The 12457-nt window shown below is 43.5% G+C and overlaps 1 protein-coding gene across 17 annotated transcripts in view; it reads left to right on the top strand.

Moving 5' to 3' along the window:
* GYG2 (glycogenin 2) overlaps positions 1–12457 on the top strand; it is a 53889-nt gene that overhangs the window by 23603 nt on the left and 17829 nt on the right. For all 17 annotated transcript variants that reach the window (XM_017029928.2, XM_047442608.1, XM_047442609.1 and 14 more), the window contains 5 exons: positions 1448–1622; positions 2461–2623; positions 3966–4092; positions 7311–7533; positions 8990–9190. In XM_017029928.2, coding sequence (XP_016885417.1) covers positions 1448–1622; positions 2461–2623; positions 3966–4092; positions 7311–7533; positions 8990–9190 — 889 coding nt within the window. The remainder of the gene's footprint in view (positions 1–1447; positions 1623–2460; positions 2624–3965; positions 4093–7310; positions 7534–8989; positions 9191–12457) is intronic.

Genomic DNA, 12457 nt, shown 5'->3' on the forward strand with positions numbered 1-12457 from the left:
TTTCAAGCTTCGAGTCTCAAACTTGTATGCAACTAACAATGTAAGCTTTGAATACAGAAAGTAAAAATTGATAGAGATTGTTATGGACATCTGTTAGTTTCTACCAGCTCAGCATTTACATTTCTCTGCCTCTGCAGCTTACAGAGGGAAACTGTCTTCCTAAGAGCTGGCCCAAGTGCATGCATCTTAAGACAGTTCTGTTCAATTTGTCACATTTTTCAAGTATGCATGCATTTCTTTTTCATAATATTAATATTTATTACTATATATGAATACTAGATTGAAAGCCCAAGCATTCAGTTTACACACAGAAATTATGCAATTATATATCGCTTCACAAAGGCAGTGAACACATTACATTCTACAAAATCTACTTCACAGAAATTTAAAAATTCTAAATATCAAAAGGTACAGCTGAAGAAACAGGTATAAATTTGGCAGCCAGTAATTTTGACAGGGAAGTTGCAGCTTGCATGACTTTATTTTTTTGTTTGTTTTTTGAGACAGAGTCCCACTCTGTCGCCCAGGCTGGAGGGCAGTGGTGCCATCTCGGCTCACTGCAACCTCTGCCTCCTGGGTTCAAGTGATTCTCCTGCCTCAGCCTCTTGAGTAGCAGGAATTACAGGCGCCCACCAGCACGCCTGGCTAATTTAAATTTTTTGTTTGTTTGTTTTTGTTTTTTTGCTTGTTTGTTTTGAGATAGAGTCTCGCTCTGTTGCCCAGGTTGGAGTGCAGTGGTGCGATCTCAGGTCAGTGCAATCTCCGCCTCCCGGGTTCAAGCGATTCTCCTGCTTCGGCCTCCTGAGTAGCTGGGACTACAGGCGCCACCACACCTGGCTAATTTTTGTATTTTTAGTAGAGAAGGGGTTTCACCATGCTGGCCAGGCTGATCTTGAACTCCTGACCTCAAGTGATCCGGCTGCCTCGGCCTCCCAAAGTGCTGGGATTGCAGGCATAAGCCACCGCGCCAGGCCTTGCATGACTTTAAATATATGAATATGAAAATATTGAACTTAGAGTAATCATTGTGCTTTGTGTTGATTGAAAAATATAACAATGGCTATCAAAGAAGCATGTTCAAAGATGCTTAATTCACTTCAAAATGTCATACAAATTGTGGTGGTTTCTATGCACCTCTAAAGCTTCCGTCATTTAGCTCAGGTACATTACTAAAGTAATATATTAATTCTACCGGTACAGTGGGGTTTCACACCATTGGCATTTGCATTCAAGCATGCAGAGGCTTTTGGGCACAAGTGGACGGTGTGCACAGCTCTAAGCCATCCGTGGAAATGTGCTCTGAACATGGAGACCGCAGTGAGGGCTGTGGGGATTCTCTTTGCATTCCACGTTTGTGAGCAGCAAAACAGCACCCTCTTGAAGGAGGAGGTGGTTCTGTGCTGAATATTCACCCGCTGTCCCACTATTTGGCACATGTCTGTTCCAGGGTCATCCTCTCGAAGGTGTTCGATGAAGTCATTGAAGTGAATCTAATCGATAGTGCCGACTACATCCACCTGGCCTTTCTGAAGAGACCTGAGCTCGGGCTCACCCTCACCAAGCTTCACTGTTGGACTCTCACTCACTACAGCAAGTGTGTCTTCCTGGATGCAGACACTCTGGTGAGTGAAGACTCTCTGCTTGATAGGAAACCCTCCAAGACCACATCTCTATCCTTAAGCAGGCTGTCAACTTTTTTTTGTGTGTGTGTGACACAGTCGCTCTGTCACCCAAGCTGGAGTGCAATGGCACGATCTCGGCTCACTGCAACCTCCGCCTCCTGAGTTCAAGTGATTCTCCCACCTCAGCCTCCCGAGTGGCTGCTATTACAGGCACCCGCCTTCATGCCCGGTTAATTTTTGTATTTCTGTACAGACTGGGTTTCGCCATGCTGGCCGGGCTGTCACCTCTTACTGGTAGATTCCTGTGAGGCCATGTGCATTTCTATTTCTAACACAGATGTTCAGTCTATTATAATCAGGCATAACATACCCCCGAGCACTGTGCTAGACCCTGCTGAAGAGAACAGGGGATTGGAAGACATGTTCCTACCCCAGGAATGAATTATAACCACAGTATTTTACACGCACAAAATAGAATCATGAGGGAAAAAACTTGTGACTGGGCACAGTGGCTCATGCCTGTAATCTCAGCACTTTGGGAGCTTGAGATGGGTGGATCACTTGAGGCCAGGAGTTTGAGACCAGCCTGGCCAACACGGTGAAACCGTTTTTACTAAAAATACAAAAATTAGCCAGGCATGGTAACAGGTGCCTGTAATCCCAGCTACTCAAGAGGCTGAGGTGGGGGGATCGCTTGAACCCGGGAGGCGGAGGCCGCAGTGAGCCGAGACTGAAGCACTGCACTCCAGCCTGGGCGACAGAGCAAGACTCTGTCTCAAAAACAGAAGCATTGGTAAAAGAAGCATTGCGGCGGGTTCTGCGTGTTTTGCTTCACCAGGTGCTGTCCAATGTCGATGAGCTGTTTGACAGGGGAGAGTTTTCTGCGGCCCCGGACCCCGGATGGCCGGATTGCTTCAATAGCGGGGTGTTTGTCTTCCAGCCTTCTCTCCACACGCATAAACTCCTGCTACAGCACGCCATGGAACACGGCAGCTTTGACGGTAAGTCAGGGCAGCCCGGACGCTTAGGGTCTCTGTTGCACACACTCAACTCTGCAGATGTAACACGAAGTCAGCCGTTGACCATACAGTCACACCTCGCTCAGCGACAGGGATGCGGTCTGAGAAATGTGTTGTTAAGTGATTTTGTCATTGTATGAACGTCCCAGAGTGTATCTGCACACACCTGGATGATGTAGCCTACTGTATACCTAGGCTGGAGGGTACAGCCTATTCCTTCTAGGCTACAAACCCATATAGCATGGGAGTGCACTGAATGTTGTAGGCAACTGTAACATAATGGGAGGTATCTGTGTTCTAAACATACCTAAACATCACAAAGGTCCAGTGAAAATACAGTATAAAATCTTATGGGACCACCGTCAGATGTATGGTCTGTCTTTGACCGAAGCACTTTTATGTGTTGCATGACTGTACTTGGCATTGAACATGGGCTGGCCGTGGTGGCTCATGCCTGTAATCCCAGCACTTTGGGAGGCCAGGGCGGACAGATTGCTTGAGGCGAGGAGTTCAAGACCGGGGTGGGCAGATGGCTTGAGACCAGGAGTTCAAGACCAGCCTAGGCAACGTGGCAAGACCCCATCTCTACAAAAAATACAAAAATAAGCTGGATGTGATGCTGGCACCTGTAGTCCCCAAGCCCTGGGAGGCTGAGTTGGGAGCAGCAGCTGAGCTCAGGAGCTCAAGCCTACAGTGAGCTATGATTGCACCACTGCACTCCAGTCAGGTTGACAGAGTGAGACCCTGTCTCAGAGAAAAAGAAAAGAGCATGGCTGTGTTCCAATAAAACTTTATTTATAAAAACATGCACAGTGTGTAGTTGCTTGACCCATGGTAGAATATAGGGAGAATTAAAAGGAGGCAACCTGAAGCCGAGTATTTGTTGAAATGGGCGTCAGTAGAGAGGAAATGTGCTGGAATTTTTGTAAAGTAAAAGAAAATACTGGAGCAGTGAAGAATTGCCTCTAGGTAAAGGGGAAGTTAATGAAACTGGCAAAAATGATGGGAAAAGCATTGTCACTACCAGGGAGAATTCATTAGGGGACCAGTGGAATGCTTTGGACTCCATATGCAATTTTAGCATTCATTCTGGGGACTCCTGGTGGAGAATTTTGGAGGGAATATGCACTTATTTTTATCAATGGCTTGGGTTATCAGTCTTTTCTGAGAACCAAGAGAATGTGTGCAGCTGGCAGACAGAAGAAATGGAATTAGTAACCCTGAAGGCAAGTGTTTATGTTGAGAGCTTCAGGCACATCTCGCATTCTTGGAGTGAACCAAGCCATACTTTGCTAACCTGCTTTTGTGTTTGCTCATTATGTAGGGGCAGACCAAGGCTTACTGAATAGTTTCTTCAGGAACTGGTCGACCACAGACATCCACAAGCACCTGCCGTTCATCTATAACTTGAGTAGTAACACGATGTACACTTACAGCCCTGCCTTCAAGCAGTAAGTTCTCCACCCTGGCGAATCCTGCCAGATCTGCCACTACCGATCCACCTTCCCTCCTGGAAGACATACCAGCTGTCGGCATATTTAAAAACTCTATCTATCTATCTATCATCTATCTATCTATGTATCTATCTATCTATCTATCTATCTATCTATCTATCATCTATCTATCATCTATCTATCTATCACCTCTATCTAGGTAGATCTAAATATCTATTTATCTGTATAGATAGATACCTATGTCTATGTGTCTGTGTATCTAGATCTCTATGTCTATCTATATAGATATATATCTGTCTATATAGTTATCTACCTATATAGGCCTAGACATCTGTTTATCTATCTATCTATCTATCTATCTATCTATCTATCTATCTATCTATCCATATCTATCTATTTAGATCTGGATATCTATCTGTATACATAGATCTATATATCTATATCTATATATGTATCTATATCTAGATCTAGATATCTATATACATTGATCTATCTAATCTCTATATCTATGTAGATATTTATCTATCTATCTAGACCTAGATGTCTATCTATCTAGACCTAGATATCTATCTATCTAGACCTAGATATCTGTCTATCTGTCTAATCTATCATCTATCATATGTATCTATTCAGATAGATCTGGATATCTATCTATAAACATCTTATCTATCTATCTATCTAGATCTACATCACTATATAGATACCTATATCTATCTATCTAGAACTAGATATCTATGTATCTAGATATCCATCTAGATTTAGATCTTCATCCATATAGATATCTATATCTATCTATCTAGATCCAGATATCTATCTATATACATAGATCTATATATCTATATCTGTATATCTATCTAGATCTATCTAGATATCTATGTATATACATGGATCTATATATCTCTCTATGTATCTAGATCTAGATCTCTCTCTATATAGATCTATGTATCTAGATCTAGATCTCTATATAGGCATCTATCCATCTATGTAGATCTAGACATCTATCTATATATTAATACATAGATGTATCTATCTATATACGTCTTTATATATGTATATACACACACAGAAACACACACACACATCTCGTTTCCTGCTTGCTTGTTGCTGTAAATGATAGCTAGCCAAGGCTCTACGACAATGATCCCCAAAGTGTGGCCCAAGGAACCCTGACCCCACAACTCTTTCAAGTGTCTTCAAAGTCATAACTACTTTAAAAAAAGAATTTGAAGATGTGATTTTTTTCCCTTTTTGCTGCCATTTTCTCATGCATCTATGCTGAGAGTTTACAGACACTACATGGCATGTGATAAGGTAATACCCTGAACACAGATGGAGCTAGGAAGAACCAGCTGTCGCCTCTTGGGAAAATGGATGGCACTCTTCTCACAATGATTTTTTTTAATATAGAAATTTTTTTAATGAAAAATTATGAAATTTATGTTACTGCATAATGGTTTGATTTTTTTTAAAGGGATTGATAAATATGCTTTCTAATTTCTCAGTTTTAATATCGATTATTCTAAATATGGAGAGAGAGAATCCACAGGGACATGGCCGAGCACAGTGGCTCACGCCTGTCATTCCAGCCCTTTGGGGGCCGAGGTGGGCGGATCACTTGAGCTCAGGAGTTTGAGACCAGCCTGCGCAACATGATGAAACCCTGTCTCTACGAAAAAATAAAACAAAACATTAGCCGAATGTGGTGTCGCACACCGCTAGTCTCAGCTACTCGGGAGGCTGCGGAGGGAGGCTCACTTGAACCTGGGAAGTGGAGTTTGCAGTGAGCCGAGATCGTGCCACTGCACTCCAGCCTGGGTAACAGAGCAAGCCTCAGCTCAGGAGAAAAAAAAAAGAAAGAATCCACACGGACAAAGCTCTTTGGGTTCCTAAAAGGGTCAAGGGTGAGGGGACCAGAGGCTGTGAAATTCACTGCTCCAGAAGATATGGCTATAAATGAAAATAGAGAATCTGAGAATCACCTTGGGAATGAATAATTCTAGAGTCTGCATTCTCTACAGAGGACACGGTGTCCCTAAGGAAGAGAAATTGATTCTTGGGAGTGAAATCTTGTTATTTTTTACTGTATAATCACAGATGTAATGTACAGAACATAGATATGTCATGTGACTTTTGTGTTCATATTTCATGAGGAGGTGATCCACGAAAAAAAAGTTTAAAAAGGCTCCTGGAGGATGGTGATGATGAACAACAAAAAAGTTGGCAAGGGGAACATTTAGAATCCTGTAAAAGAGAAAAAAAGCCAATTGCCTTGCCGCTTGCATTAGCCACTGTAAAAGCTATTTTTTTTTGCCCCTGTCGTTTTAAGGATATGATGATTTGGGCTGCTGTACTTCACGTTTTTACAAAACTGATTTATTTTTCCCGTTTTGGGAAAAAATGTCAATGGATTACGATTATGTTTTTTGATATATAGAAAATAAAATAACTGCAAAAACTGTGATTTAAAAAATATATCTTTATGCAAAATAACTGCAAATGAAACTACTACTACTATGCTGATAGCAGTGGAGTAGTATTATTGATGATATATTGATTACTATCTTGATAGTAGTGGTATGCTAGTATTGCTCAGATATTGATTACTGCATTGATAGTACTAGTATATTATTATTGATTATATATTGATTACTATAGTAGTGATAGTATTTTGTTATTATTGATCACACATTGATTACTGAATTGATAGTAGTAGTATGTTACTATTGGTTATATATTGATTACTATGCTAGTAGTAGTATATTGTTGACTATATATTGATTACTACATTGATAGTGGTAGATTATTATTGATTATATATTGAGTACTATGTTGATAATAGTAGCATAGTATTGATTACATAACGATTACTACATTGATAGTAATATATTGTTATTGATCATATATTGATTACATGCATTGATAGTAGTAGTGTATTATTATTGATTATATATTGATGACTATGTTGATAGTAGTAATCTTATTATGGGTCATATATTGATTACTGCATTGGAAGTAGTAGTGTATTATTATTGATTATATATTGGTTACTATGCTGATAGTAGTAGTATCATCAGTAATAATAATCAATAATGGAAACCCATTGGGACAAGTCCTTCAGAGGCTGTCTTTGAGGAGCCCCATGGTAGGTGGATGCTTTCTGGGTGTCTTTTATCACATCTGAGTGGAAATCAGAATCCCTTCTGTTTCCTTCTCAGATTCGGTTCCAGTGCAAAGGTCGTCCACTTTTTGGGGTCCATGAAACCTTGGAACTACAAGTACAATCCACAGAGTGGCTCGGTGTTGGAGCAAGGCTCAGCGTCCAGCAGCCAGCACCAGGCGGCATTCCTTCATCTCTGGTGGACGGTCTACCAGAACAACGTGCTGCCCCTTTATAAAAGCGTCCAAGCGGGGGAAGCACGCGCGTCTCCTGGTCACACAGTAAGTGGGGGATTCCCTTAAAACCCGTAGCTGAGGACGAGGAGAACATCCTTGTCACCAAGGTCTGGCGTGGTTTTTTTTTGAAATGCCCCTTTTTTGTCTAAATACTGTATTTCATGGAAAAGAATACTGAGAAGCAAGCACCTGTTAAAAAAATTTTTAAGTTTTAGCTCAAAATAGAGAATGCCTAATGACTGGAGATCCTGTTTTGATGTGTAGGCCTGGTGCAGAAATAGGTTATTGAAATTAGCCATCCTCATCAGAGTAAGAGACACTCATGGACAAGTGGTTCACAATGACTGATTACGACGTCATTCGGGTCAACACTTTCCACTTGAAACCATCATTTGAGATAGCAGTTGGAGGAAGTGTCTGAAGAGGATTTTGTAAAGTTTTGATTGACACCAATTTGATTGCAAAGAATATAATGACAGCCCCTCGGTGTGCTAAATGGTGGAGTATCTGCAGTGTGCTGAATGTAGGCTGCATCTGCCTTGCAGAAGACCTCTTGCAATTAGGACTCAGGAAACTTCTTATTCCTAATGGCTTTTTTCACTAAAGTAAAAAAAAACTTGAGCTTTTTTTTTTTTTTTTTTTTAACTAGAGCATTTGTACTAGAGTACCAGAGTATTTTTTAACTAGAGTAAAGAAAACTAGAGTTTTGTTTGTTTGTTTGTTTTTTGAGACAGAGTCTCACTCTGTTACCCAGGCTGGAGTGCAGTGACATGATCTCGGCTCACTGCAACCTCCGCCTTCTGGGTTCAAGCAATTCTCCTGCCTCAGCCTCCCAAGGAGCTGGGATTACAGGTGCCTACCACCACGCCCAGCTAATTTTTGTGCTTTTAGTGGAGACGGGGTTTTGCCACGTTGGCCAGGCTGGTCTTGAAGCTCTGACCTCAAGTCATCCACCCGCCTCAGCCTCCCAAAGTGCTGGGATTACAGGCGTGAGCCACCAAGCCCGGCCTTTTTTTTTTTTTAACTAGAGCATTTGCTAGTACAACAGAGTCTGCTATCAGCACATGCATTGCCTGGGAAATTGAAAAGAATCCCTATTTTAATTTTTAGTATGGTTTTTTATTTGGGTGGATCTAGGCTGCTTTTTAAGGACTGCTGAAAATTTCTCTCACCGAGTGACACTAGCAATGGACGTTTATTTGTATTCACTTCACAAACATTGACTTGTCACATATTTCCTGCTGGGCGTTTTGCTAAGTACTGGATTATTAAGTACTGGATTACTAAGTACTGGATTACTAAGTACTGGATTGCATAGGAGGGAATTTTAAGGCTTAGTGTCAAACGGTCCTGAGAAAGAAAACATTTAGGACAATTATTTAATGATTGGCAGATGGGAGCTGGGAGCCCTGGCTACACAGGGCCCCACCCGCCCCCCAGGACAGCAGGTGAATTGAGGAGACATAGGGAAGACTCACTCCACGTGTGTGTTTTTGTGCAGCTTTGCCACAGTGATGTGGGGGGGCCGTGTGCGGATTCAGCCTCTGGTGTTGGAGAGCCGTGTGAAAATTCAACACCCAGTGCGGGCGTGCCGTGTGCAAATTCACCACTGGGTTCTAACCAGCCTGCTCAGGGCCTTCCGGAGCCGACCCAGATAGTGGATGAGACCCTGTCCCTACCTGAAGGACGCCGTTCAGAAGATGTAAGTACCTGCATTCCTCACAGGTGTGATAGTCAGACGCTGGCTCGCAGTGAGAGAGCAGAGAGAGCCGGCTTCCCTGGCTCCCTGGGGAGGGGAGATGGAGGGGAAGGGCTGGTCTTTGGCTTGCTGTGGCATTCAAGGCTCTGCATTTATTTTTGCATTACGGCACACCGAATCAAGCTCACCTGCTGAAAGATGTCTATGCCCCAATCCCTAGGACCTGTGAATGTCACCTTGTGTGGCAAAAGGGCGTTTGCAGTTGTGATTAAATGAGGGACCCTGAGCTGGGGAGGTATGGTCTTGGATTCTGGGAGTGGGCTCTTAGTCATCACAAACCTCCCTTCAAAGAAGAAGGTGGAAGTGTGAAGGTCAGAGAAGGAGTGTGAAGCTGGAAGCAGAGGCCAGAGAGAGAGGGGATTGGAAGACGCTGGGCTGCTGGCTTTGAAGATGGAAGAGGAGGCCACGAGCGAGGGAATATGGTGGCCTCCAGAAGCTGGAGAAGGCAGGAAATGGATTCTCCCCTAGGTCCCCAAGAAGGAACCAACCCTGCCGACAACTTGATTTTAATCCACTGGACTTCTGGCCCCCAGAACTATCAGATGGTCAGTCTGCCTTGGTGTAAACCACCCAGTTTGTGGCTGTTTCTTACATAGCAGCCTCAAAAATCTGATGCCACAAGGAGACAGATGCTCAGTCTCTCGCAGTTTACAGATTCTGGGGGAGCCAGAGCTCTTTCAGGTTCAAAAAGGGAGGCTTCCGTCAGTGCCCCCTCAACCCAACTGCCTGGCCGTGCATCCTGAGAGGTTTCAGCCGAACCCCTGACTTGAACAGTGGTTGAAGTGAAGATGAATTCCTGCCGGGGTTCAATGTTCAAATGAATGTTGACCTGCACAGTGGTGTCTGCTGAGGCCGAGTCTGCAGCACTTTGTCCCCATCGAAGAAAAATGAAAATACACCTTACTTGCAAAACAAATAATGGAGGCCGTCATTTCTCCAGCTCCAATTTCTAGGTGAATACTTTGGAATAATATCTTGTGTTTAAAGATTTCCTGGGGCCAGGCACGGTGACTCAACACCTGTAATCCTAACACTTTGGAAGGCTGAGGTGGGAGGATTGCTTGAGCCCAGGAGTACGAGACCAGCCGGCAACACACTGAGACCTCATCTCTACAAAAAAAAGTCAAGAAATTAGCCAGGCATGGATGTGTGCACCTGTAGTCCCAGCTACTTGGGAGGCTGAGGCAGGAGGAATGCTTGAGCCTTGGAGGTCAAGGCTGTAGTGAGCTATAATCTCACCACTGCACTCCCGCCTGGGTGACAGAGCGAGACACTGTCTCAAAGAAAAAAAAAAAGAAATCTTTTTTTTTTTTGAGGCGGAGTCTCTCTCTGTCACCCAGGCTGGAATGCAGTAGCCCAATCTTGGCTCACTGCAAGCTCTGCCTCCCGGGTTCACGCCGTTCTCCTGCCTCAGCCTCCCGAGTAGCTGGGACTGCAGGTGCCCGCCACCGCGCCCGGCTAATTTTTTGTATTTTTAGTAGAGACGGGGTTTCACTGTGTCAGCCAGGATGGTCTCGAACTCCTGACCTTGTGATCCGCCTGCTTCGGCCTCCCAAAGTGCTGGGATTACAGGCGTGAACCACCACGCCCGGCAAGATTTCTTGTTTTAAATCTTTACCACTGATCCTAACAAGTTTCTCAACAGAATTATTTTGAGATCATACTTAGGGAAGGATCTGGGGACTGGGCTGAAGGAAAGTGATTCTTTTCTGTATACTTCAGATAGCTCCGGGAGAGCCGTTTCTTGTTGCTTATAAACAAGTGACCTTTAGATTTTGCACACATTGCTCTGGAAGACACCACACGCTTCACTGTACTCTGGCGTAAATTATGCTCTGGCAACTTTATGCATGAAGAATGTCGGAGTGGTGATTTCACATTGACCCAAACACATTGAAAAGATGTTTAGGTTCAGATGGTGAAGACTGAGGAGGTGTAAAATGCGCTTTTCTGGTTTTTCATTCCTCATGGTGTGCCCTGAGCATACCATAGCCTGGGCCTGGCCCCAGGACGTGCCTCATGCGAGTCAAGTCAAGAGCCTCTGCTTGTTCCTGCTGGAATGTGAAGAATTCCATCAGTGGAGCCCTTACATGATGTGCAAAACGGCTGCAATTGTGCTGAGCCATGCTCGTTTCAGGATGTCTAAGGAAAAATCGCATTTACATTAAATGTTTAGTAGGCAACCAAGTTTAGACTGTAAACCAAAGAGTATCCAAGAATGCTGTGGCATTCAAGGCTCATGCTTTTATGTGCATTACAGCACCTTAAGGCCAATAAAGGGGAACTCCCATCCCCTGTTGATGTGTATTGAAAATAATTGAATGCTCAAACTCCTAGCCTAAAAAAGAAATATTATCGAATGCTTCGAAAACATAAATTTAGGAAGTGTATTTTGCCAAGGTTAAGGACACACCCGTGACACAGCCTCAGGAGGTCCTGACGACATGTGCCCACGGTGGTCGGGGCACAGCTTGCTTTTATACAATTTAGAGAGGATGAGGTATCAATATGCGTAAGAAGTACATTGGTTCAGTCCGGCAAGGCGGGACAACTCAAAGTGGGGCGGGGGCTTCCAGGTCATAAGTAGATAGAGGCAAATGGTTGCATTTTTTTTTTTTTTTAGTTTCTGATTGGTCTTTCCAAAGGAGGCAATCAGATATGCATTTATCTCAGTGAGCAGAGGGGGGACTGAATAGAATGGGAGGCAGAGGCCCTAAGCAGCTCCGCTCCCAGCTGGACTTTTCCCTGCTTACTGATATTGGGGTTCCAAGATTTACTTTCTTCACAAGACTCTATTGAGTCCTCAGAAAACGGTTTTCAAACCATCTTTCTGATTTCCGGTTGCGTAATTTTAATCTTATTCCGTCACTGAATCTTGTACATTAGTGGTTTTGCAAACTATGGCCTGAGGTCTCTCTGAATAAGGATCATTTTAAAGGATTGTGTTTTTGCAGATGATCTTAGAAGCATTCTTCTTTTTCTTTCTTTTTTTTTTTTTGAGATGGAGTCTCACTCGATCGCCCAGGCTGAAGTGCAATGGCGCGATCTCAGCAGCTCACTGCAACCTCCACCGCCCGAGTCCAAGCAATTCTCCTGCCTCAGCCTCCTGAGTAGGTGGACAGGCATGAGCCACCACACCTGGCTAATTTTTGTATTTTTAGTAAAGACCGGGTTTCACCATGTTGGCCAGGCTGTTCTTGAACTCCTGGC

Source organism: Homo sapiens, chromosome X, assembly GCF_000001405.40.
Source record: "Homo sapiens chromosome X, GRCh38.p14 Primary Assembly".
NCBI classification, from domain to species: domain Eukaryota; kingdom Metazoa; phylum Chordata; class Mammalia; order Primates; family Hominidae; genus Homo; species Homo sapiens.